Source organism: Homo sapiens, chromosome 18 (genome assembly GCF_000001405.40).
Source record: "Homo sapiens chromosome 18, GRCh38.p14 Primary Assembly".
Taxonomy (NCBI): domain Eukaryota; kingdom Metazoa; phylum Chordata; class Mammalia; order Primates; family Hominidae; genus Homo; species Homo sapiens.
In genome coordinates this window covers 12,305,848-12,330,381 of record NC_000018.10, presented here as the reverse complement: position 1 = coordinate 12,330,381, position 24,534 = coordinate 12,305,848, and the positions used below count along the sequence as shown (strand labels likewise).

Below are 24,534 nucleotides of genomic sequence, written 5' to 3'. Positions count from 1 at the left end.
GAGATGTATATAGAACATACACAGCCTCCTCCTATTTTTTTTTGTTTGTTTGTTTTGAGAAGGAGTCTCGCTCTGTCGCCCAGGCTGGAGTGCAGTGGCACAATCTTGGCTCACTGCAACCTCCGCCTCCCGGGTTCAAGTGATCCTCCTGCCTCAGCCTCCCAAGTAGCTGGGACTACAGGCGCACACCACCATGCCCAGCTATTTTTTTGCATTTTTAGTAGAGACACGGTTTCACCCTGTTGGCCAGGATGGTCTTGACCTTGTGATCCACCCGCCTCGGCCTCCCAAAGTGCTAGGATTACAGGCGCGAGCTACCGCGCCCGGCCAGCTTCCTCCTCATTATAGATGGTCAGCATTCATTGTGCAGATGTGTGGAAATATGTCTAGTATGGAAATGTATCCCTTACAGATGGACATTGGTTGCTTTGATATTTTGCACATCTTACTCTAAAACTATGCAACCTTATGTATGAGACATCTTTTTCATTGGTCTTAAATCCTTTTTTGGAATGGGGTCACCTGTAAATAAAAAATTAATATTTCTGAATAGACTTTGCTGAGTAACTGTATTTAATGAAAATTGTTCATATTTCAGGTTGCTCTTCTGTTGTTAGAAAAAGAAGTATTAGATAAGAATGATATGGTTGAACTTTTGGGCCCCAGACCATTTGCGGAAAAATCTACCTATGAAGAATTTGTGGAAGGCACTGGCAGCTTGGATGAGGACACCTCACTTCCAGAAGGCCTTAAGGACTGGAACAAGGAGCGGGAAAAGGAGAAAGAGGAGCCCCCGGGTGAGAAAGTTGCCAACTAGAGGCCCAGAGGGAGGCCATCTCAGTCTGTCCACTGTGGTTTCAGCTGGTGCATTATTTCAGCTGTGGCTTTCAGAAGAATGGGAATGCTGCGCTGATTTTAGCCAGCCACTGGCCCAGCTGAAATGATGGGGAAAGGAGTCCTTAGTCCTTTCAGCCTCAGAGGTCACAGTGGGTGGCAGGTGACTTTCCGGAGGCCTTGAGGGAAATGCACACTGTCCCATAGCCTCATTGGGCTCCCAGACGTGCTGGAAAGGTTGAGCCCAGAGTGGCCGAGGCTGGACCCTGTGGCACCAAGTGGGGTCGGCTGACCGTGTGGCAGGGATCGTTGCACTGGACTCTTGGCGTGTGGGAAGGGATGCTTTCTCTTTGTCGCCCACTCTTCATTCCTGTTTCTCCTCAGTTCCCCTGTGCAGATGGGCTGTGAAATTAAATTGGAGTCTTGATAAGAACATTTTAATTTGACTTAATATTTTAAAGATTGAATCCAGATCACTTGTTGCTGTCTTAATGGAATGGTTTTCTACAGGAGCTGTAACATACTTAAAAATATGAATGTATTATGTAAATATGGCTTCTTTACATAAAAAATAAAATGTCAACACTGTACTTTTCTGAACACACATAGGGTCCCTATTTATGCTCTGGATATTTTTAGAAAACATAATGGCAAGAAATTAAATTTTCTTGCTTTTTAGAGGAGAATCCTTCAAAATCTCAGCCTCGCTGGTTCTCATTAGCTCCCACAGGAGGTTGGAACCTTCTAGAGTTATGTGTCCTGTAAAGATGCACTGAGCTCTGGATATAAAGTACATGGGTCCTGAGGGGTTAGTCATGGCCTGAATCTGTGATAACCACCCCAGTGCAGGTCCTCAAGAGGCCAGTCATGGCCAGATGTTGGCCACACCTTCTGGGTATAGAAGTTAACGTATAACTGTAGCGGGCCTGGCAGGCTGACCTGAGCCGTCACCTGGATTTTAGAGAAGGAACAGTGGAACTAAGCTGGAGTCCCCTGGGCCCTGGCTCTCTGGGGACATCTCAGGAGTGGTCTGACTGGTAAGCTGCTCCTATTGTCTATTGAAAGGGAGTTATTGGTTATGTGCTTCCAGAAAAGTGAGTCTGTAGTGTTGCAAACCTATATCAAAATTCCTTAAAAAAGATGGCATGAGGAAGATTTGCTATGTCTTCTATCAATTGCTGTTATTTGGACATGGAGGAGACACTGGCATTTTTAACTATTTACATTTTTAGCAGTCTGTTTTAGCATTATTCCAGCTTGCCTTGTGTGGTGTTGATGTTGTCGGAACAGTGGCTTTAGAATTAACACAATCTAGTGGCATCCCTGCCATGGCCCCAGGCCATGCATGCTCCACCCATGGCTACTTCCCAGCAGCCTGAGATACCCACCTGTCCCCGGCAGGCCGTGGAAGCAGCTGTTTGGACTCCACAGCTCAGCATGCCAGGAGAACAGGCGCCCCCTGCTGGACCTTTGCACCTGCAGGCATTGCCACACTGGCCACTTCCTTTCCTCATAGGGTGTTTTTGGGAGGTGCCCAATGAAGCATTGTTTCCAGGCTGAGGCTCACACAGTTGTGAGGGTGCTGGGTGTGCTTTTTACCATACAGGCAGTAGACGATTAGGAGACGCTCTCTACTCCTTATCCAACCACTGCAAGGCATGGAGCCAGCGTGGGCTGCCCTCTCACAGGCCTTGGCTGTGAGACCTCCCGGGGGACGAGAGTGGGGCCCACTGTCTGTCAGGCTTGATACAGTAAGAGTGACAAAGCCAGATAGCACCGACAACACCCATGTTTCTGGTGAGGTGAGCAACCTTAAGCTCTGGGCCCTGGATGGCTGCTCAACCTGTGCAAGTGGCCCTCTGTGCTAGGAGCAACCGTGGCTCCCTGTGCCACCATCTTGTGGGGCCTGCTCATGCATAGATCTTTCCACGGTCACACAGAACATGTTTTCAGGACAGATGTGGGTGGTGAGCTGGTAAGATTTATTTTTACTGTGGTCTCAGAATAGTTCAGATTTCTGCAAAAAGATCTGTGATCACCTCAAGCCATGCTGCTGTGTTTAGTGATGAACTTTCCATCTGCCCAAGGCTGGGGCTTAACACAAAATAAATACAGCTAGTCAATGTAAGGCCTGGGATCACAGACCAAGGGTGGTGTTGTGGTTGTACTGTGGGGAACCCTAACCCTAAGTGGTCCCGAATGACAAAGCTTTGTCTGTCTCTTATTCCCTGTCCAACACAGGTCAGAGTGGGCTCTGCCCAGGATGGTCACTCAGGAACCTGGACGGGTGGACAGGAGGGATCGGGGGGGCTGCCCACGTGGGAGGCAGAGCAGGAGGGCTGGCACTGGCACATGACGCTTCCACTCGGGGGTGACACACTATGCCCATTCTTATGGCTAGAGCAAGTCCCACGTTCACAGCTTCAAGAGGGCAGGAAGAAGTAAAGCAAAAATATTGTCAACAGTGAGGTCTGTACCAGGCACTAGCAGGGCTACTGTGCGTGCCCCGTGGAGTTTATCTTTGGAAACTCCAAAGGTGTGGCCGGTGGTAGAAGCCATCAGGTGTGATGGGTCACAGCAGAAAAGGGCCCATCCCTTCCATGCAGGGCTGGCTGTTGGCACCCCAGCTCCCACCCAGCACCCCTGGCTTTGTCCGGAGGCCTTTTGGGGCTGTTTGTTCCCCTACAAGGTTGGGGAACCCTAGCCCAGGACCTGACTTGGGAAAATGCAAGATCCTGTGGGAGTCTAAAAGGTGGCTGCGGATGGAGGAGGGGCTTTTGTCTGTACTGCATTGCCTTCCAGCTAGCAACAGTTTTGGCTGCCCCCCTTAAAGCCTCCATTTAAAGAAGAGCCCTTTCCTCTGTTGTTTTCGTGAACTGAAGTGGGGAGGAGTTCACCCCAGGGAGAGACCAGTGACCCAAGTAGCCATTGTAACCATACAAAGTAACTTACGTCATTTATGCACATGGCTAGAGAGATGAAGACACACGTTTAGTATTTTATTATGAATCATTATTTCAAAGTCCCATACTGCATATTCATATAAGGCAACACGGCACAATTTCAGGCTTCATCACAAAGGATGAAAAAGACTGTTTCTAACTCCCTCCTAATTTGCAGACATGCTTGAACACTTAATGGAAGGTGAAGTTTATTTTGTGGCCCCTCAGTTCTCTTTCAAGTCCTCTAGTAGAAAGTCTCCATGGTGTGATCTTCTGACTGGGTAGAACCCGCAATTCTCTGCTGTTTTTAGTCTTTGTTCCAGATGACTAATTACATGACTTGGCTGCATTTGTGAGGGGCCGACACCAACACAATTAAACCAGTGCACCATTCAGGGCCATAGGGTAGGAGGCACCAGGGTTCAAGAAGGAACTTGCGTGTTGTAGGATCTGAGTTGGGGCGGCTCTATTCCGACTATCCATCGATCTCCTCTTCCTCATCCTCAAAAGCTTCCTCCCCGTCATTGGCGGTGGCATCCTGGTACTGCTGGTACTCGGATACCAGGTCGTTCATGTTGCTCTCCGCCTCGGTGAACTCCATTTCATCCATGCCCTCACCCGTGAACCAGTGCAGGAAGGCCTTGCGCCGGAACATGGCTGAGAACTGCTCGGAGATGCGCTTGAACAGCTCCTGGATGGCCGTGCTGTTGCCGATGAAGGTGGAGGCCATCTTCAGGCCGCGGGGCGGGATGTCGCACACGGCCACCTTCACGTTGTTGGGAATCCACTCCACGAAGTAGCTGCTGTTCTTACTCTGGATGGCCAGCATCTGCTCGTCCACCTCCTTCATGGACATGGGCCCGCGGAACACGGTGGCCACGGTCAGGTAGCGGCCATGGCGCGGATCGCAGGCGGCCATCATGTTCCTGGCGTCGAACATCTGCTGGGTGAGCTCGGGCACGGTCAGGGCCCGGTACTGCTGGCTGCCGCGGCTGGTGAGCGGCGCGAAGCCAGGCATGAAGAAGTGCAGGCGCGGGAAGGGCACCATGTTCACCGCCAGCTTGCGCAGGTCAGCATTGAGCTGGCCCGGGAAGCGCAGCGAGGTGGTGACCCCACTCATGGTGGCGGACACCAGGTGGTTGAGGTCCCCGTAGGTGGGCGTTGTCAGCTTCAGAGTGCGGAAGCAGATGTCATAGAGCGCCTCGTTGTCGATGCAGTAGGTCTCGTCTGTATTCTCCACCAGCTGGTGCACCGACAGTGTGGCATTGTAGGGCTCCACCACCGTGTCCGACACCTTGGGCGAGGGCATGACGCTGAAGGTGTTCATGATGCGGTCCGGGAACTCCTCACGGATCTTGCTGATGAGCAGCGTGCCCATGCCTGAGCCCGTGCCGCCGCCCAGCGAGTGCGTGAGCTGGAAGCCCTGCAGGCAGTCGCAGTGCTCGCACTCCTTCCGCACCACGTCCAGCACTGCGTCCACCAGCTCCGCGCCCTCCGTGTAGTGCCCTTTCGCCCAGTTGTTCCCTGCACCCGTCTGGCCTGCAACAAAGAGAGTCCCGTGCCGTTTAAACAGGAAAGGGCTGCGCCATCACCATGCTTGGTCACCGACAAGGAGGGTGTGAAGTGATTCCATGATGTGCTGTTAGCCAAAGGGAGGGGCCGGGGAAACAGGCACCCACCAACGGTGCAGCTGAGCAGATGCACTGGTACGTTTTTAGGCAAGTCAAAGTAGCTACTGGTCAATTTTAAAGATGTATATACATTTTGACCTGGTTGTTCCATGTTAAAGAGGTAATTCTTGCACATGGTAGAATTCAAAGGGAACAAAAGGTATACATTAAAAAAATAAGTTACTGGCCGGGCGCCGTGGCTCATGCCTGTAATCCCAGCACTTTGGGAGGCCGAGGCGGGTGGATCACTTGAAGTCAGGAGTTAGAGACCAGCCTGGGCAACATGAGGAAACCCCATCTCTACTGAAAATACAAAAATCAGCCGGGCGTGGTGGTGGGGAGCCTGTAGTCCCAGCTACTTGGGAGGCTGAGGCAGGAGAATTGCTTGAACCTGGGACCTGGGAGGTGGAGGTTCTAGTGTGCTGAGATGGTGCCACTGCACTCCAGCTTGGGCGTCAGAATGGGACTACAGCTCAAAAAAAAAAAAAAAGTTCTCTCCTTTGGGCTTTCTGAATCTTATACTGTACTATGTATAAGTATTTTCTTTTCTTTCTTTCTTTTTTTTGGAGACGCAGTCTCACTCTGTCGCCCAGGCTGGAGTGCAGTGGCGCAATCTCGGCTCATTGCAAGCTCCGCCTCCTGGGTTCACGCCATTCTCCTGCCTCAGCCTCCCGTGTAGCCGGGACTACAGGCGCCTGCCACCACTCCTGGCTAATATTTTTGTATTTTTAGTAGAGACGGGGTTTCACCGTGTTAGCCAGGATAGTCTCGAACTCCTGACCTTGTGATCCGCCCGCCTCGGCCTCCCAAAGTGCTGGGATTACAGGCGTGAGCCACGGCGCCCGGCCCAAGTATTTTATTTTTAAAACTTGACACTTTTTCATGTTAATGGAGCCCCTCATTCATCATCCAGAATTACTGTTGCAAAATGTTTGCAGAACCAATTATTTATTCTGCCCCTATAATTAAATACTAAGCACAGGAAGTAATTCCTGCCCTCAAATTGTTTCCAGGCCAGTTGAGAAAAGGAGCTTAATATGTCTGAAAGACTTCTGTATTTTATGCAGAGTTCAAGTAACAAGAAAGAGACCTAGTCTGTTTTCTGCATAATGGTGCTTTTTTTTTTTGAGACGGAGTCTTGCTCTGCCACCCAGGCTGGAGGTGCAGTGGTGCGATCTCGGCTCACTGCAAGCTCCGCCTCCCGGGTTCACACCATTCTCCTGCCTCAGCCTCCCAAGTAGCTGTGACTACAGGCACCCACCACCACGCCTGGCTAATTTTTTGTATTTTTTAGTAGAGATGGGGTTTCACCATGTTAGCCAGGATGGTCTCAATCTCCTGACTTCGTGATCCACCCACTTCGGCCTCCCAAAGTGCTGGGATTACAGGTGTGAGCCACCGGGCCAGCCCCATAATGGTGCATTTTTGCCAGACAGGCTTATGTATATCTTACTTTACCTAAAAAAAATTGAATCTGAAAGATTGGCTCTTAAATTTAAAATCCTATTTTTCATTTTATCTCATTTTAAAATGGATTATTTCACTAGCAGAAGCATTTTTTTCCCAGCTGTAAAAATTACACAGGTTTGTATGTCCATATGAACAGATGCACGTAGGAGTGGGAGGAACTAATTTTTGTTTTTGGTTTTCTGGGCACTACGAGTTTCATATAATGCAATGGCTTTCATACATTGCTGTGAACATCTGTATTTATTTATTTAGAGACAAGGTCTCGCTCTGTCACCCAGGGTGGCGTACACTGGCACCACCCTAGCTGACTGCAGCTTTGAACTCCTGGGCTTAAGTGATTCTCCCACTTCAACCTCTTGAGTAGCAGGGACTACAGGCACATGCCACTACACTTGGCTAATGAACATTTGAAAAAACTAGATACTAGATACCTCTCATTTATTTTAAAGTTAACATCTATTATTTTTCATAAGTCAAATAGTTGCATATGATATAATTTTAATTTCTGGAAACAATATAATCACTTTAAAAAACTCTTCTTCTGTTAAATGTATTGATAGAATATATTAAAAATCAGAAATAATTCCAATCAGTTGAAGTTGATTCTTTTTAATTTCCTGTGATTACAAAGTATTAAATGTTATCTATCTACCTATCTATATCTATTTTTTTCCTATTAATTCATTTATCCAAGGGTGAATATTAAATACTGCCAGAAAGGGCCAAGGCTTGGGATCAATTCTATTCCTCTTAATTTTTACATATATGAGAAATCTTGTCCACAGATATATGTAAATGGGAATGAATTATGTTCTACAATGTCATTCAGTTCTTTGATTGTCTTCAGAGTTACATCCCAAAAATCAAATAGTGAGCTATTATCAAAAAGTATTTTCAAGCCTGGGCAACATGGCAAAACCCCATCTCTACTAAAAATACAAAAATTAGCTGGGTCTGGTAGTGCATGCCTGTAGTCCCAGCTACTCGGGAGGCTGAGGTGGGAGGATCACTTAAGCGTAGAAGATGGAGGTTGCAGTGAGCCAAGATTGTGCTACAGCACTCCAGCCTGGGTGACAGAGCAAGACCCTGTCTCAAAAAAAAAAAAAAAAGTATTTTCAATCATCTGTCACTTAACTCAATTTTGTTTATTTATTTATTTATTTATTTTGAGATGGAGTCTCACTCTGTTGCCCAGGCTAAAGTGCAGTGGCACGGTATTGTCTCACTGCAACCTCCACCTCCTGGGTTCAAGCAATTCTGCTTCAGCCCCCCGAGAAGCTGGGATTACAGGTGCTGCCACCACACCCGGCTAATTTTTGTATTTTTTAGTAGAGAGAGGGTTTCACCACGTTGGCCAGGCTGGTCTTGAACTCCTGACCTCAAGTGATCCGCCCACCTCGGCCTCCCAAAGTGCTGGGATTACAGGCATGAGCCACCGCACCTGGCCAACAACTCAATGTTGAAGAAAGCAGAATTGGAAACGACCTAACTTGCAGGTCATGACATTTTACATCAGTCATTCTTTTCTTGTTTCTGAATGTAAACCAAAAAGGCTTAACCAAGACTTACTAAATACACTCTCACTCTTTCACTTTAAGGCAATTTATTCCAGTATACTTAGAGTTGGGAAAATTGAAATACTAATTTCTAATATGACTTTGTCAATTTAATTTTTAATAAAATGTTTTAAATATTTATTTTCATGAAATTTTGGGCTGCAGATTTAACTAATTCAAGTCATAAAAACTTGCATTGCATTATACAGACCTCTCCCCACTTACTCCAACTTGACTTTTGTCTACACACGGCTGGTGGCAACAATTCACAGCCACTGCCAAAGACCAGCCTCTCTGGTTTCACGTGGGCAGGTCCATCCCTGATGCTGCACTCACCCTGGGGGCACTGAACTATGAAGCAGTGAAACCACCAAGGCTGCCTCTGAGAGCTGCCAAGTGCTACATCGGGTAAGCAAGCTGCCTTTCACTTGTCAATCTTTAATTAGTGGACAAGGGGCTCCCATGCAATTTGGGACACGGGCCTGCTCACAATGAGGTCTACTGATGGCACCCCTGGCTTCTGCAGTACATAACAAGTGCAGCCTTACACAGTGGCTCTACTCTTGGGGGGGATGAAGCATTTATCAGTGCTACACACTGTAGGTGTTCAGTGCAAGAAAAAACAAATTCTGTGATTCTTCATTAAGTGTACTGAACTTAATGTTAAAATGTATGTACTGGACTGTTAATAACTCATATCACATATAAAGGATACCCTCCTTCAATATCTAAAGAAGTCCTTAAATCAGTAAGAAAAACAACAGCCATTAGGAAAACAGGCAAAGGCTATAAACATACAGCTCACAGGAAAGGAAATTCCAATAGCTTAGGTACTGGAAATAATGCTAAACCCTTCTCATAAGGGAAACGCAAATTAAAACAAGGAGATTCTATTTTTCTGCTGTGAAACTGACAGAGATCCAAACACCTGAGTTGCACTGCTGAGGGTTTGGGGAAGGCCACTTCCCACGGGAGCTACTGGAGATAGCAAGGGCAGTGGGCTGTAGAACAGCTGAGCTACAGCTATCAAAATTATCCCCCTAGACACAGCAATTACACTTCTGTAAGTTTTTCTAGATAGACCCATACATGTGCAAAATGACATATATACAAATGTTTACTGAGGAACAATTTATAATAATAAAAAGGGGAACAACCCAAATACCTATCAACTGAAGACTGGTTAAATCCACGGCGGTATCTCTGCAGAGGATACTATCAGCCATCAACAGGAATGAGGCAGCCATACTTGTGAAATGGAAAGATCTTCAAAATACGTTGCTGGGGAGCCAGGGAGGAACACTAGGGTACTAAACAGTGTATACAGCTGGCTCCATTGTATGTGTGTAAATATATGCGTCTGCCTGAACATACCTGAAAGGACATTCAAGAATCTTAACACTAGTTCGGGGTAGGAAGGAGATCAACTTTTCACTATATACCCTTTTGTTCCTTTTAAGTCCTAAACCATGAAAATGTTTTACCTAGCTAGCTAGCAAAATGAAAAAAAAAATTACTTTATTAAAACATTTACAATGCAATTAAGAAAGCACAGGTTGTCTTTGAAGGATGGGGTCCTAAGAGAGTTCATTTCTAGCTTTATGACATTTTAACTAAAACATTTATTTTATGATAAGTGAATATTAAAGTATAAAAAAGGAATTTTTTATTATTATTATTTTAGAAATGGGGTCTTCCACTGCTACCCAGGCTGGAGTGCAGTGGTGCAATCATAGCCACTGCAGCCTCCAACTCCTGGGCTCAAGGGATCCTCCTGCCTCAGCCTCCTGAGTAGCTGGGACAATTAAAAAAACATTTTTTTGGCTGGGCACGGTGGCTCACGCTTGTAATCTTAGCACTTTGGGAGGCCGAGGCGGGTGGATCACGAGGTCAGGAGATTGAGACCATCCTCGCTAACATGGTGAAACCCCGTCTCTACCAAAAATATAAAAAAAATTAGCATGGCATGGTGGCGGGCGCCTGTAGTCCCAGCTACTCCGGAGGCTGAGGCAGGAGAATGGCGTGAACCCGGGAGGTGGAGCTTGCAATGAGCTAAGATCGCACCACTGCACTCCACCCTGGGCGACAGAGTGAGACTCCGTCAAAAAAAAGAAAAATTTTGTAGAGAGGGTCCCCTTATGTTGTCCATGTTGGTCTTAAACTTTTGAACTCAAGTGATCATCCTGTCTTGGCCTCCCAAAGTGCTGGGATGGCAGGTGTGAACGCCTGAGCCCAGCTCTTCTTTAATGAAAAATTTTAAAATGTCATCAGTAAGTGGGAAATTACTAAATGATGACATATACAATGGTAGGCACTGTGACTGTCACGGAGGATGTCTGAGATACATTAATGAATTTTTCAAAAGGCTGCAAAATGGTGTGTATAGCAGGATCCCATTTTCCCCAGACAAAATCAGCTCTGTGTGCTCACCTAGGTGCACATGGACACAGAAAAATGTCAGCAGGGCCGGGCGCGGTGGCTCACACCTGTAATCCCAGTACTTTTGGGAGGCCGAGACAGGAGGATCACCTGAGGTCAGGAGTTCGAGACCAGCCTGGCCAATATGGGGAAACCCCATCTCTACTAAAAATACAAAAAATTAGCTGGGTGTGGTGGCAGGTGCCTGTAATCCCAGCTACTCCAGAGGCTGAGGCAGGAGAATTGCTTGAACCCAGGAGGTGGAGGTTGCAGTGAGCCGAGATTGCGCCATTGCACTCCAGCCTGGGCAACAAGAGCGAAACTCCGTCTCAAAAAAAAAAAGAAAAAAAAAAAAAAGGAAAAAGGAAAAATGTCAGCAGGACACAGCACAACTGTCTACACACTCGGTTATCCCCCTAGGGAATAAAACCTCAGGGGCCACCAGTAGAAGGGATGACAGCTTTCCCTTTCTGCACTGTATACACAATCTATGTGTACTGTTTGAAAAAACCATGTACAAGCACTTTGTTTTAACTTTGACATGAAAACATTAAACACTTTTTTTTGTATAAGACCAGCTATGGGAGCTCACACCTGCAATCCTAGCACAGGAGGGTGAAGTGGGAGGACTGCTTGAGCCCAGGAGTTTGAGGCTACAGTGAGCTATGATCACACCACTGCACTCCAGCCTGGGTGACAAGGCGAGACCCCATCTCAAACAAACAAACAAACAAAACCACACATTTAAATATTGAACACTGAAGTTTCCAGAGAGCAGAACTGGCCAGCTGAAACTGACCACAGAGGGCCCTTGCACTTGTCTGCAGCATCAGCCTCCCTAGATCTCCGTCTCAGTCCCACTGAGAAATCAGCTCAGCCTTTCTCTCCTATTGTCTTTGCCCCATTTGGCAGTCCAAAGCCCAGTGTCACTGGCATGGCAGGCCCTATGGCTCTGCAGAGGGGCCGGGCTAGGCAGATGCCTGCTGTGTGCTTGCAGCACACCCCGTGGGCCTGGCCACTTTAGTACTCTCAGGTGGCCGTTTCCTTGTGTTTTTCACAAGCCGTAGACAGCATCTAGTATGTGACTGTTCTCTTACAAACAGGGGATTCTCTTCTTCCTGCCCAGCTGTGTTGCACAGTGAATCCTAGCTGACTGCCTTCTCTTAGTAGGCGAGAAAATGGTCACCGTCCTTCCTAAGCCCCCACCAACTTCTCTCCACCCCTTCCCCACCCAACCTAGCAGGCAGCACCTGGCAAAACTACAACATAGGTATTGGGAGGAACAAGCTCGGGGCTGGTCCACACTCGGTGCTAGAACTGTCACATTTTACAAAGGAAAGACCCAGGGCAGCTGTCAAAATAGCCTGGGACCTATTTCATTAAAATAGCAGAAACCAACAACTGAAAATAGTAGGTGGCTTTTGGCAAACATAGAACCCCAATCAATCAGACCTGAGCTAGCTGTAAGTGGACGGAGATGCTGAACTTGACTCCCTCTGCAGCTCACACCATTTACCCAGCTTCCTCAATATTTATAGCATGAATAGCCATGAAGTTTTCTGTGCTCTTGATGAAAGGAGGAAGCTGGTGACTTCTGAAAAATATTTTGCCACTGTCTCATAGCAACAGATGTTCCAGTTAAATATTTGGGAGTTGTGAACTGAACATCTTCTGTACTGATACGGTGTGATGTTAGTCAGTGACTCCAGACAGTTAGCAGGAGGCTGCCAACTCTAAGCTTTTTGGCAGTGGGGCTGCAACAGGTCCCCAGGGTTTTCTCTGAGTCCCCCCTCTGGTTTCAAGCTCACAATGGGTGATGGAATAAGTGTCAAGGGTCTGTGCACTCCTGCCCCCTCTTCTAGCCCTGAATCTGGAAGAAAAAGTTAGAAATACAGAAAGAGGCTGGAAGAACGTTTACCTTTCTGGTGCTTCATTCTTTTCCCACAAAACTTTCCAACAATAGAGTAGGTATGACTGCTATGCAACCAGCAATTCATTACAGAAGTTTTTCTTTTCTTTTTTTTGAGACAGGGTCTTGCTCTGTCGCCCAGGCTGGAGTGCAGTGGCGCAAACACCGCTCACTGCAGCCTCAGCCTCAACCTCCCTAGCTCAAGTGATCCTCCCACCTCAGCCTCCTGAATAGCTGGGACCCCAGGTGCACACCACCACGCCTAGCTAATTTAAAAAAACTTTTTGTACAGAGGGTCTTACTATGTTGCCCAGGCTGACCTTCAACTCCTGGGCTCAAGTGATCTACTTGCCTCAGCCTCCCAAAGTGTTGGGATTACAGGCATTAGCCACTGCCCAACTGGGAAGTTTTCTTTTTTTTTTTTTTTTTGACAGGGTCTCACTCCATCACCCAGGCTGCAGTGCAATGGCTCAATCTCGGCTCACTGCAACCTCCGCCTCTCAGGTTCCAGTGATTCTCCTGCCTCAGCCTCCCGAGTAGCTGGGATTACAGGCACTCATCACGCCTGGCTAATTTTTGTATTTTCAGGAGAGACAGGGTTTCACCATGTTGGCCAGGCTGGTCTCGAACTCCTGACCTCAGATGATCTGCCTGTCTGCGCCTCCCAAAGTGCTGGAATTACAGGTAACTTTCACTTTTAAAAGTATACACTACTAATGTAAGTGAGTGTTTCCTAAATCATTTCAAACTCTATTTGGAAATGGAATGACACTGGTTTATTGTAATTTACCAACTCTAACTGGAACAATATGGTATAAAGCCAGTGAGGATGGATCATCTCCAGTTCACAGACAATTCTGCCTCTTTTACTGGAGAACGACTTAAAAACTATTTAGCTAAACAATATAGAATGTTTATACATTCTGGATACTTCTCCATTCTCCATAATATGTTATTTTAACAAATAAGCATATTCATTTAAACAAGTCACAATTCTTAACTCAAAATGGTGTCAACTTGCTAAAATTCCTATTAAAGACATATCATGTTAGTACAACCTGTTGAAAACTTAAAACATTCTGAATCAAAAATAGGGTTGCAAGTCAGATGAAGCAAAGATGCAAGAAGCAATTTCGGGGACAGTTTTTATGTGCCAAAGGTCATTTCTAACATTTTTGAAGGCTTACAGGGACAATTAGATAACTAAATGGGCACCATAGGTCTGTCTTAATTTGTCTTAATCTTCGTGATCCCATTTGTCAACAGCTAGAAAGACCTTACACTCTCCCAATGTTCAATTCAAATAAACCAAAGAAAACTCACAATTGCTAAAGTGGCAGCTGTGAGAAACTAGCTTCTCACCACTTCAATAGTTTGTGATGCACTCATGTCATAAAGATCAGTTCATGGCTTCGACTCTCTCTTGAGACCTGGCCAGGTCCTGGCTGCACTGCGTTGACTGCTGGTGGGTGAGGCCTCCTCGGGGCACCCATCCAGACTGGGTTGGGTCCCTCAGTTGCTGCCAGGCCTGGGGCAGACTGGGCCGGGGCCAGACAGCCATGACCTGCTGAAAACCTTCTCCATGAAAGCTGCCTTTTCCGTGACCACACCTTTGAGACAACTGATATCTTTTTTTTGACAGAGTTAAGGCATGCAAAAGCATATGAAAAATAATATGAATCTCTACACACCTACTACCCATTTAAGAAATAAAACCGGCCACTGGTACATGAAGCCCTGTGTAACAAGTGTGAGTGTGAACTTACTCAACTATGTAGAATTATATACTTTTTTCCTATTTTATCTCAAAAAGCAGTAATGGGTGTGGCATGAGTTTCGGCTAACCACCCTTCCCCTGGGAAACAGTGCAGCGTGCGCTGAGTTGCATTTTAATGTCCTGCCTTCCGGCTCCTCTATGCGTGAGTCCTGGCGTGATATGTGTGCAGGTTTCTCTGTTTTACGCTGACAATTTACGTCAGTGTAGAATAGAAGGGCCAAATTCAGAGCTGTTCTTACATTTCCTATAAAGTAGTTCTTAAAGCCCTGAGTCTCTCATAAAATAAGCATTCAGTTGCTACGTTTCTTTGAAAAGTTTAATTTCAGGCAAAAGTGCAGCAAAAACTACGCTCTCAGACACTGCTGGTGGCATTAATCCAATTGGAAGTGTGTAAAAAGGGCTTAAATCTCTTCACTCTTTGACCCAGTAATTTTGCTTTTTGAGAATCTATTCTGAAATCAAAGTGAGAAACAGACAAATTTAAGTGAATCAAGATGTTCAATATTCCTTTTAAGAGCAAAAAGCTGAAAAGAAACAGCTTCCTGATTATTGGCCATTATAAAGTTGCATAAAGAATTAATTACACATTATGGAGCTATTAAAAATTATGGATTTTAGAAACTAAATGTGAAATATGGTTTATAATATAATGTTCAATGGAAAAAGATATAAATGATACCATGATTACAATAATGAGAGTCAGCAAAAAGAAACAAAGGTGAAAAAAATACCTCAGTGCTGACAATAATTACACTAAGATGATGAACATACAGAATTTTTTTTTAACTCTAGTTTTAAACTTTTAAGAGTGTGGTTATATTAGTTTTTGCTAAAAAAAAAAAGCAAAGTTTAAAAAGCAAAGCAAAGTACAAATTAAAAATAAATACGAATCACTCAGGATGGTGGGGAGAGCTCCCTTTTAAATATATTAAAAGCATATATTCCCCTTTATGAGACAATGTCAGCTGTGTCACCTGCTGTGCTTCCTTTTTTGGATTTAGTTGCCAGAAACCCAGAGCTAAAATTAATTCTCAGCCACAGCTGAGCTCACAGTTGACTCTGTGTTGTAAACTGCTACATTTATGCCTGTCTTTTACTGTTGTTTCATATCCTTCTTTGAAGAAGGTATATATTTTACATATGTAAAACTTTAAGATCTTTTTTATCTATAAAAATTCACAGATATGCTTGTAACTGTTTCCCAATCTCAGGAAGGACTCCTGCGAGGGAGGCAGGCAGGGAGGGAGGTGGGTTTTCACTGTATGGCCTTTCCAGCTACGCACCATGTGCACACACTGCCTATCAAAGAAGAGGTGTGATTTCTAAAAGGTGTATTAGTTGGAAATACATGAATTGTGTCTGGTAAAGCTTACTGAGACTACGGTAGACTCAGCCAACTATAATTCAGACTCAAGAAATCTTAGCTGTCCGCTCGCTCAGATTCTCACCAAAAATCCACTGAACCTCAAGGAGAAGACTGGGCAGAATTCTACAACAAGTGGGGGAGATAGGGCCATTTCTTCTCGCAGATTCTTACAGGGGTCTGTGACCCCAAGATGCTTGGGGGGGGTCCTTCATTTCAGATAGTAAAATGAAGACCCCCAGAGAAGGGAACTGATGCTGCCAGCGGGCACAGAGCTAGGGTCAGCTGCTCAGTTTCCCTCTCCCGGTGCGGTGCTCTTTCTTCCTGGCTATGTTAACTCTGTGACCTGGGAATGTGGTCCAGAAAGAAGCTGTGGCTGCTGAGTCTATACCTACTTAGTAAGTGAGTTACTCAATGCTGATCTGTATAAAGTAGGATCGTCCTTTTTCCTTTCTCACAATACAGAATATTAATGTTATCCAAGTCAGGTCTTTATTACAGTACTCAGAGAGCAGTCCCTCTGAATTGACAAGGATGACACTGGGCAAGAGGAGCTCTCAGACACCCCCCGTGGGCATGCAAATGGATTCAGCTCTTCTGGAGGCCAATCTGCAATCTCTATGTGTGAGCATTTCTGCAGAACAGATTCCTTGAACTGGAACTCTTGGATGGAAATTATTGATTTGCTCAATCTACTAAGTAGTTCTCTGAACAGCTGTTATTTTCCCAAACACCTTCACCAACACTAGGTCTTAGCAGCTTCTGAAATACTGGCCAATCTGGTGGGAGAATATTTTGTTTTAATTCCCTCTTGCCTCTAGTTAGTAGTAAATTTTGTCCCCAGGTATTTATAGCTTTTATTACAGTTGTGAATAGGATGTGTTCCCCAGTGATTATTGCTTTTAATGTGATTCATCTGTTCCAGTTTGCCTGGGACCCTGGCAGTTTTAGCACTCAAAGTCTAGTGTCCTGGGGAACACCTCCCAGTTCCAGGCAAATCAGAAAGATTGGTAACCTGATCGCAAAACTATTAATTTCTGAATATTTTATCTTGTGTCTGGCTCCCTTACTGAAGTCTTGTAAGTGCTAGTCATTTTTCAGCTGATAGCCTATCTGGAAACTCCAAGAGAATCATTTCATCAACAAATAACACTTTTGTCTTTTCCTTTACATGATTTGCATTTTTTCTTTCTCTGGTTTTTGTGCACTGGCTAAAGCCTTCAGAACATGGAATAATTGTAGAGACAATGGACATCTGTTTCTTATACCTAATTCTGCTGGAAATGCTTCTGTTTCACCAGGGAGTGTAATGTTGCTATGGGTTTCTGGTAGATAATCTGTAAATAAAGGAAGTTTCTTTCTACTTCCAGCTTACATAGAAGTTTTTTTGTCCTCTACAAATCAGGAACACATCCAAAACTTTATCTTTTTTTTTTTTTTTTTGAGATAGAATTTCACTCTTGTTGCCCAGGCTGGAGTGCAATGGTGCGATCTTGGTTCACCCCAACCTCCGCCTGCTGGGTTCAAGTGATTCTCCTGCCTCAGCCTCCCGAGTAGCTGGGATTACAGGCATGTGCCACCACACTGGGCTAATTTTGTATTTTTAGTAGAGATGGGGTTTCTCCATGTTGGTCAGGCTGGTCTCAAACTCCCGACCTCAGGTGATCCGCCCGCCTTGGCCTCCCAAAGTGCTGGGATTACAGGCGTTAGCTACTGCTCCTGGCTTCCAAAACTTTAATCTTTTTTAAAAAATTGTTTCCTGCTGGGAGTCAGAAAAAAAACCCACTTTTTTGGGTCATCTATTAAGATGTTGTCTTTAATCTATTAGTAGACTTCTTAATGTTGAACCATCCTTGCATTCCTGGGATGTTGCTAGTATTTCTCAAACACTTATTTTGTACTAGACATTCTAAGTGTTTATTTAATCCTTACATCTCACTAAGAGGTAGACAGTCCCACTTGTGATGAGGAAATTAAGTCACAAGTAAGTTAAATAAGTCTAAGGCCACATAGTGAGTGGAAGGGCCAAAATTTAAACCCAGGGAGTCTGGCAGCACAGCCAGACTCCTAACCATTACACTGTCTGCCTCTCAGTCTTACTTGGTCACAATGTGCTATTAATATATTTTTTAAAAAACACAACTACATTTGATATTCTAAGTATTTTATTTTGGATTTTTGCATCTATATTTTTAAGTAAGTTTGATATACAGCTTTCACTTGTATGTTCTAGTAGAAGCTACCTAGCCTCATAGGAAATGTTGGGAAGTTTTCCATCATTTTCTCTCTGGAATGGTTTGGATAATGGGATTGTCTGTTACCCTCTATTAAACTATCTCTTCCTGGTGCCTTTTGAGAAAGGGGTTAGAATGTAGATTTTTCATGATGTATTTGATTCCTACACCATAGTGCTTTTAAGCCAGAATCAGTCTTCAAATTCTTCACATTTTCTTGGAAGACACTGCTTTTCACAGGTATTGGAAATATGTTTGATTGAGTGAGGAATTTTTTTTTTTAGCAATAATGTCAATAGATATGTGGTCTCTAACATTAAAATAGGTGGGAAACTTCCAAATCTGCCACCTATCCTGTAGGTTCTACTTGATAACACTAATGGTACCACTTCATGTAATTTTATATAATTTTCTTCAGAAGTCTGCAGAAAGATATGTTTTACTATCATTTTTTAGGTGGAAGAAGCAAGAAAAAAAGGATTTACCTAATTCTGATAAAACCAATATAGGAACCAAAAACAAATGGCAAAATAACTTTATAATGATGGGGAAAAAGAAGCTAATGTCTAAAATTGTTTCTTGGTTTTTGTTTTTTTGTTTTTTGCTATTTTTGAGATGGAGTCTCGCTCTGTCACCCAGGTTGGAGTGCAGTAGTGCAATCTCAGCTCACTGCAACCTCTACCTCCCGGGTTCCAGCGATTCTCCTGCCTCAGCCTCCCGAGTAGCTGGGACTACAGGCACGTGCCACCATGCCCGGCTAATTTTTTGTATTTTTAGTAGAGACAGGGTTTCACCGTGTCAGCCAGGATGGTCTTGATCTCCTGACCTCGTGATCCGCTCGTCTTGGCCTCCCAAAGTGGTGGGATTACAGGCATGAGCCACCGCGCCTGGCTTGATTTTTGTTTTTTAATCAAGAACTACCAGTAGAAGAATTTCATTTAGAGATATAGAGGTTCCTTCCCACCAAAAAAGTCAAGATTTAAAAAAAACTGTTCCTTGTGATGAACCCAGCTAGGGATGGGAGGGGTGGGGCTGGGAACCACTGATTTCCATTCACACTTTTTCTATGACACATGATGCTTTAAATCTGGCATATAAAATATTTGATTTAAAAAAATAAAAGAAGAAGAAGAAAGTGAGAAAGATGGAACCTACCAAAGATGAAGTTGTCAGGCCGGAAAAGCTGCCCAAAAGGCCCAGACCGCACGCTGTCCATGGTGCCTGGCTCTAAGTCCACCAGGGCGGCCCTGGGCACATATTTCTGAGCTGGAGGAGAAAAGAACCACCCACAAGAGTTACTTTCAGGTTTCTAAAGTAATTGACTTCCCCGTTTCAAGTCCCACCAGTTCTAGCTGCCTGGAATGGATCAACCAGGGTCTTTTCAGAAAGGGTACAGGAACTTTCTTAGAATCACAGAATTGGCTGGGCGCACTGGCTCATCCCTGTAATCTCAGCACATTGGGAGGCTGAGGTGGGCAGATCGCTTGAGCCCAGGAGTTCAAGACCAGCCTGGGCAACAGAGCAAAACCCTGTTTCTAAAAACAAACAAACAAAAAACCAAGAAAATTAGCTAAGTGTGGTAGTGTGCACCTCTAGTCCTAGCTACTCTGGAAGCTGAGGTGGCAGGATCATCTGAACCCAGGAGGTCAAGACTGCAGTGAGCCATGGTTATGCCACTGTACTCCAGAGTGAGACCTTGTCTTTTTTTTTTTTTTTTTGCGATGGAGTCTCGCTCTGTTGCCCAGGCTGGAATGCAGTGGTGTGATCTCGGCTCACTGCAAGCTCCGCCTCCTGGGTTCATGCCATTCTCCTGCCTCAGCCTCCCAAGTAGCTGGGACCACAGGTGCCCACCACCACGCCCGGCTAATTTTTTTTGTATTTTCAGTAGAGATGGGGTTTCACCGTGTTAGCCAGGATGGTCTCGATCTCCTGACCTTGTGATCTGCCCACCTCGGCCTCCCAAAGTGCTGGGATTACAGGGGTGAGCCACCGTGCCTGGCCGAAACCCTGTCTCTTAAAAAAAAGAAAGAAAAAAAATCCTAGAACCTTAACACTGGAATGAGGAACGAGTCCAGGCATGACCTGGCAGAGGAGGTTCCAGGAAGAGGCAGGATGAGAAATCAAGTCCCCTGACTTCCTGCCTACTGTATTTTCCAGCTCACCCTGACACCTCTTTCCTGTTAGGAAGTTTTACAACTTTAGCTCCATGGAAATAAACTAGGTATTTACAGCAAATTGCCAGGTTTGGATGAAATTCTCTGCTTTGTGACACCTCCCCCATGCATACACATACATGTGCCCATGTGCAGTCTGAGAACCTTGTTACCCGGAGCACGCCACTGGCTGTTTCCCCAGAGTCACTCTCATTTTGAGTCAGAGTGTTCTTGTGTGGAAATTTCATGCCAATTGGGCTAGAACTTGTTCCCGGTGAGGACACGGTTAATATGATTCCAGATAGGACCTGCTCTTCAACTCCTGTCCTGCAGTGCACTCGCCAAGATCGAAAATGGATGTACCCAAGCTGGGTGAGGGATTAACATGAAGTGCAGTGTATACTGGAACTATCCTTAGTGTCCTCTAGAAATTTCATCTTCCATGCCCTGATGTTCCCAGCCTTTTGTCATTGCTGCGTAAATGAATAAAACTCCACTCGTTGCTGAGAACTGCCTGGAGTTTCAGCTTCCAGGGAGGTTAAAGTCTTTTTAGAGGTCTGCAAGGGACCAGAAAAGTCACTTAAGAGAGCGTTTCTCAAATTTTTAGCCAAGAATCCCCAATAAGAGATACGTTTTAAACTGGGGGGGGGGGGGGGGAAGCTTTGTTTTTCCCAAGGATCCTTGAGAAACGCTCTAATTTATTCTAACAGGGTCTCGCTCTGTCACCCAGGCTGGAGTGCAGTGGCGCGATCACAGCTCACTGCAGCCTCGACCTCCTGAGCTCAAGCCCTCAGTTAACTGGTACTACAGGGGTGGGCCACCAAGCCCGGCTAATTTTAAAATTGTTGTAGAGATCGGGGCGGGAGGGGGGCGGGGGGTGGTCTCCTATGCTGCCCAGGCTGGTCCTGAACTCCTGGCCCCAAATGATCCTCCAGTCTCGGCCTCCCAAAGCGCTGGGATTAGAGGCTTGAGCCACCGCGCCCGGCTAGACAGAGAAGGCTGGGCAGGAACCGCTACGTTGATTTCACAACGCTAACGGGTGGTCCCGTTCAAGCGCTCAGACCCTCAGGATAGGCTGAATCGAGCTGTTTGAATAAACTGACGGCGGATTTCCCGCCCCGGAGGAGCGAAGGGAGTGGCCGGGCATCCTGCTACACCCCGAGAGAACTTTTCCCGAAGCAAACTCGCCGCGCTAAGAGGCGGCGCCGGAGCGTCCACGCGGGTCCCGGCCGGGCAGGGCGCGGCGGCCTTGCTACTCACACGATGACTCATTGTAGTAGACGTTGATTCTCTCCAGCTGCAGCGCCGAGTCTCCCACGTAGCCTCCGGCCGGGTCGATGCCGTGCTCATCGCTGATCACTTCCCAAAACTTGGGCAGGGCAAGGCGGGGGGACAGACGCTCAGAACCCAGAGCCCGGGACGCCGCCACCCGCGCCCACCCCAGGCGCCCCGGCGGCCGAATTCCAGGCGCGCCTGAGCCGCCGGCAGCCGCTCCCAGTTGGGATGGGGGTGGGGAGCGAAGAGTAGAAGGTCCCCGGCCGGCCACGCCCCGGGCGCTCCCTCCCTGCGGCCCTCGCGGGTCCGCACCGGGCTCCGAGGACCCAGGGGCGCACAGCGGGTGCGCGCCCCGGCGGGGGTCGCGCCGGGAGACCCGGGGCCCGCCAGCAGCCGACCCGCGGAGAGGCCCTGCACCGCGCCAGGCCCACCTTGGTGCCGATCTGGTTCCCGCACTGGCCCGCCTGGATGTGCACGATCTCCCTCATGGCGGGCGCGGCTCTGCGCTAGGAACTGGCTCTGCGGACGACAGCGGCAACTGCGGGCCGGCTGCGCGCGTCCCGGGGCCGACCCTCCGCGCCCCCGCCCCCGCCCCGCCGCTCGCCAATGGCTGCGGGCCCCGCCCCGCCGCCCCCGCTCGACGCCGCGGCCCGGCCTGCAGCAGCCGAGGGAGGACGCGCGGGCGCCAGTCGGGGGACCCTTGCCGGGAGCCGGGCGGAAAAGGACGGGCCCGGAGCTGGCGGGGAGGAGACGGGAAGGAGCGCGGCGCCCGCCCCCACCACCGTTTCGCTGCCCCTTGTGGTGCCCCGCCAGAGGGAGACGCGAGTCGGGCCCTGGCGTCGGGGCAGCGGAGCCGACGTGGCCCGCGGGGTCCCAGCGCCGCGCCCGGGAGCATTGCAGCCGCCCGCGCCCAGTCCAGCCAAGCCGGGACACTGCCCTGGGGTTCGGCGGTGGAGCTTTTCAGGGTCTCTGCCCCCTGCCCCCCACCCCCCGGTCGCACCCCGGGCACACGTTCTTAGGGCCTCTTCGTCCTGGTGTTTCCGTCTCCGGAGATACAGAGGCCATTCCTCTCCGACGACTCCCACCCCTTTGGAACCGGGTTTAGCTAAAGTGACTACAGGGCTGGATCCGAAAATGAACACCTCCTGCGCCGGGTCTATGCAGCCTACTCCTCGCGCGTTAGCGAAGAAATGCGCTTCGGCCTGGGAGGGCGCGCCAGAGTCCGTCTTCCTGGCCAGTTTTGTGTGGTGGAAAGGAATGACTGCTGATGCCGGCCGGGTGACTTGGATTTTAATTCTAGCTGTTTTCAGTTAGCTCTGCGCTTCAGCGGACTCCTCTGTTAACGGAAAAGGTTATCCTAGGGGAGCCTTTCAGCCTCCAAAATGCGGGATGCTCTGGCCTCTGCAGTCAGAATGTGCATGCATCAGGGCTTTTGCGGAAGTTTCCTCACGTGAACGCTGCAGGCTGGGACCACCGGGGTAGCCTCTGCGTCCCCTCCCAGGCCCGTAGAAACGCCGCACATGAGGAAGCGACGATGTTCTGTAATTTGCACTGGCACTTTCTTTTTAGACAGATGAAAACTTTGGGAAATTCCTAATTGTGTGTGTGCATGTTTGTACGTTTGGAAGGGAGTGGAGAACTTTTAAAAGTTTTTCTTCTGGAGTTTTGCAAATGTTTCCAAATTGAGGAATTTTTTTTTTTAACCCTTGGGTCCCCGCCTCCCCACTGCTCTCTCCACCCCAGTGCTGCTCCTCGGCCTTCTTGTGGGTCCCCACACCTCTTTACACAGCCACACGCCCAGGGAGCAGATGAGGAGGCCACAGCCCAGCCCCTGCGCTCCCATTTCAAACTATGAGCCTGAGATTAATCAGCCACCTTCTCCTGAGTCCTCAACACCCTTATTTAGGCTGTTTGTTTCCATTGCTTAATTATTGACTCCAACGAGTGCTACCTTAACCCATCCTGCCGGCCCGAAGTCTAGTGTGGGGAGCCCGAGAGCGGAGGGCCTGTGCCATCCCTGGAAGAACCCTTCCTCCAGCTTTAGTCTCTCTCTCTAAGAAATCCAGCCATCAAGTGGTTTAAAAGAAAGTGTCTACTTTAGAAGCTTTGGTCGTTTGCTGAAATAGCCACCCTTTCAGTGCTAGCCCTTGGGCTGGAATTTAAGTCCAGGGGTCTGATCGAGCCAGAAAGTAGGTGTCAGCGTGGCTTCCGGAAGTCCGTTGTCACTTGGATTTGACAAGGGACAAGCCGACCTGCTGGTTTCTGGGCTCCTGCTCGCTGTGCGCTCTGCGCTGTCTGCAGGGATTGGTGCCCGCGGAGTGCGCTTTGTCTGGAGAAACTCAGTGCTCGAAGAGTGAGGAGACCGGGAGGAAACCTTCCCCCTGCAAAGCTTATCTCCCTTCCCTCTCATCAGAGGCGGGGCCCCGCAAGACACAAGGGATTTCCCCGCAGAATGAACCAAGGCCTCCCCAGGACATGGGGACAGTTCTGCTGTGCAAAGCCTGAATTCACGTTTCTTTCCTAAAGTGGCTCCCAGTCTCTCTGCAGCCTTGGCCTCTCTTTGAATCCCAACCCTGACTTCCCTGGTGTCTGTTGGCCACTCCCTTCTGGGAGCCGGCAGGTGAAACCCTGACCTGTGAGCCCGGCCTGGGGCTCTCCAGGCTCTGGGCCCCCTACCCTCCCGATCTGTGGCCCTCACTCCTCCTGGGCGAGGCTGTTTGTGACGCGGTGTGTCCAAATGCACACAAGCCGCAAACCAAACTTAAAAAAGCGTAGAGGACACATTCTCTTCTCCTACCTTAAAAAATACACCATGGTATCTGGAAAGCCAGGTTCCAGTTTAGAATTCTCAGGCTAGGCCGGGCACAGTGGTTCACGCCTGTAATCCCAAAACTTCCAAAGCTGACATGGCAGGATTGCTTGAGCCCAGGACC

At 47.6% G+C, this 24,534-nt stretch overlaps 2 protein-coding genes across 10 annotated transcripts in view, besides 7 other annotated features; one reads left to right on the top strand and one right to left on the bottom strand.

Moving 5' to 3' along the window:
- The window catches only part of AFG3L2 (AFG3 like matrix AAA peptidase subunit 2), a 48,284-nt gene extending 46,846 nt beyond the window's left edge, over positions 1-1,438 (top strand). For both annotated transcript variants that reach the window (XM_011525601.4, NM_006796.3), the window contains one exon: positions 599-1,438. In XM_011525601.4, the coding sequence (XP_011523903.1) occupies positions 599-817 (219 nt within the window). In that variant the 3' untranslated portion in view covers positions 818-1,438. The remainder of the gene's footprint in view (positions 1-598) is intronic.
- On the bottom strand, positions 556-22,713 carry TUBB6 (tubulin beta 6 class V). Of its 8 annotated transcripts, none has more exons than NM_001303524.1 (5): positions 22,613-22,713; positions 22,033-22,120; positions 21,587-21,695; positions 19,329-19,439; positions 3,766-5,315 (listed from the first exon to the last, which is right to left on the bottom strand). In NM_001303524.1, the coding sequence occupies exons 2-5, from the start codon at positions 22,087-22,089 to the stop codon at positions 4,252-4,254; spliced, it is 1,341 nt and encodes a 446-aa protein (NP_001290453.1). In that variant the 5' UTR covers positions 22,090-22,120; positions 22,613-22,713; the 3' UTR covers positions 3,766-4,251. The 8 variants fall into 8 exon arrangements, with proteins under 8 accessions (NP_001290454.1, NP_001290453.1, NP_001290457.1 ...); NM_001303528.2 differs by lacking the exon at positions 22,613-22,713 and adding an exon at positions 9,638-9,753 and having other exon boundaries at positions 22,033-22,141; NM_001303530.3 differs by lacking the exon at positions 22,613-22,713 and adding an exon at positions 9,638-9,846 and having other exon boundaries at positions 3,813-5,573; positions 22,033-22,141.
- Positions 1,967-2,816: an enhancer, noted in NCBI's record as "H3K27ac-H3K4me1 hESC enhancer chr18:12327565-12328414 (GRCh37/hg19 assembly coordinates)". NCBI's record gives its function as "activates a minimal SCP1, AML or CMV promoter by ChIP-STARR-seq in naive H9 embryonic stem cells {active_cell/tissue: H9 hESC(naive)}" and the evidence as "EXISTENCE:reporter gene assay evidence [ECO:0000049][PMID:30033119]".
- Positions 2,138-2,432: a silencer, noted in NCBI's record as "tiled region #11778; K562 Repressive DNase unmatched - State 25:Art". NCBI's record gives its function as "represses a minimal TATA promoter and a strong SV40 promoter by Sharpr-MPRA in K562 cells {active_cell/tissue: K562}" and the evidence as "EXISTENCE:reporter gene assay evidence [ECO:0000049][PMID:27701403]".
- Positions 11,338-11,838: an enhancer, noted in NCBI's record as "H3K4me1 hESC enhancer chr18:12318543-12319043 (GRCh37/hg19 assembly coordinates)". NCBI's record gives its function as "activates a minimal SCP1, AML or CMV promoter by ChIP-STARR-seq in primed H9 embryonic stem cells {active_cell/tissue: H9 hESC(primed)}" and the evidence as "EXISTENCE:reporter gene assay evidence [ECO:0000049][PMID:30033119]".
- Positions 11,729-11,798: an enhancer, noted in NCBI's record as "active region_13101". NCBI's record gives its function as "activates an Ori minimal core promoter by ATAC-STARR-seq in GM12878 lymphoblastoid cells {active_cell/tissue: GM12878}" and the evidence as "EXISTENCE:reporter gene assay evidence [ECO:0000049][PMID:35858748]".
- Positions 21,606-21,955: a silencer, noted in NCBI's record as "silent region_9310". NCBI's record gives its function as "represses an Ori minimal core promoter by ATAC-STARR-seq in GM12878 lymphoblastoid cells {active_cell/tissue: GM12878}" and the evidence as "EXISTENCE:reporter gene assay evidence [ECO:0000049][PMID:35858748]".
- Positions 21,976-22,075: a silencer, noted in NCBI's record as "silent region_9309". NCBI's record gives its function as "represses an Ori minimal core promoter by ATAC-STARR-seq in GM12878 lymphoblastoid cells {active_cell/tissue: GM12878}" and the evidence as "EXISTENCE:reporter gene assay evidence [ECO:0000049][PMID:35858748]".
- Positions 22,166-22,655: a silencer, noted in NCBI's record as "silent region_9308". NCBI's record gives its function as "represses an Ori minimal core promoter by ATAC-STARR-seq in GM12878 lymphoblastoid cells {active_cell/tissue: GM12878}" and the evidence as "EXISTENCE:reporter gene assay evidence [ECO:0000049][PMID:35858748]".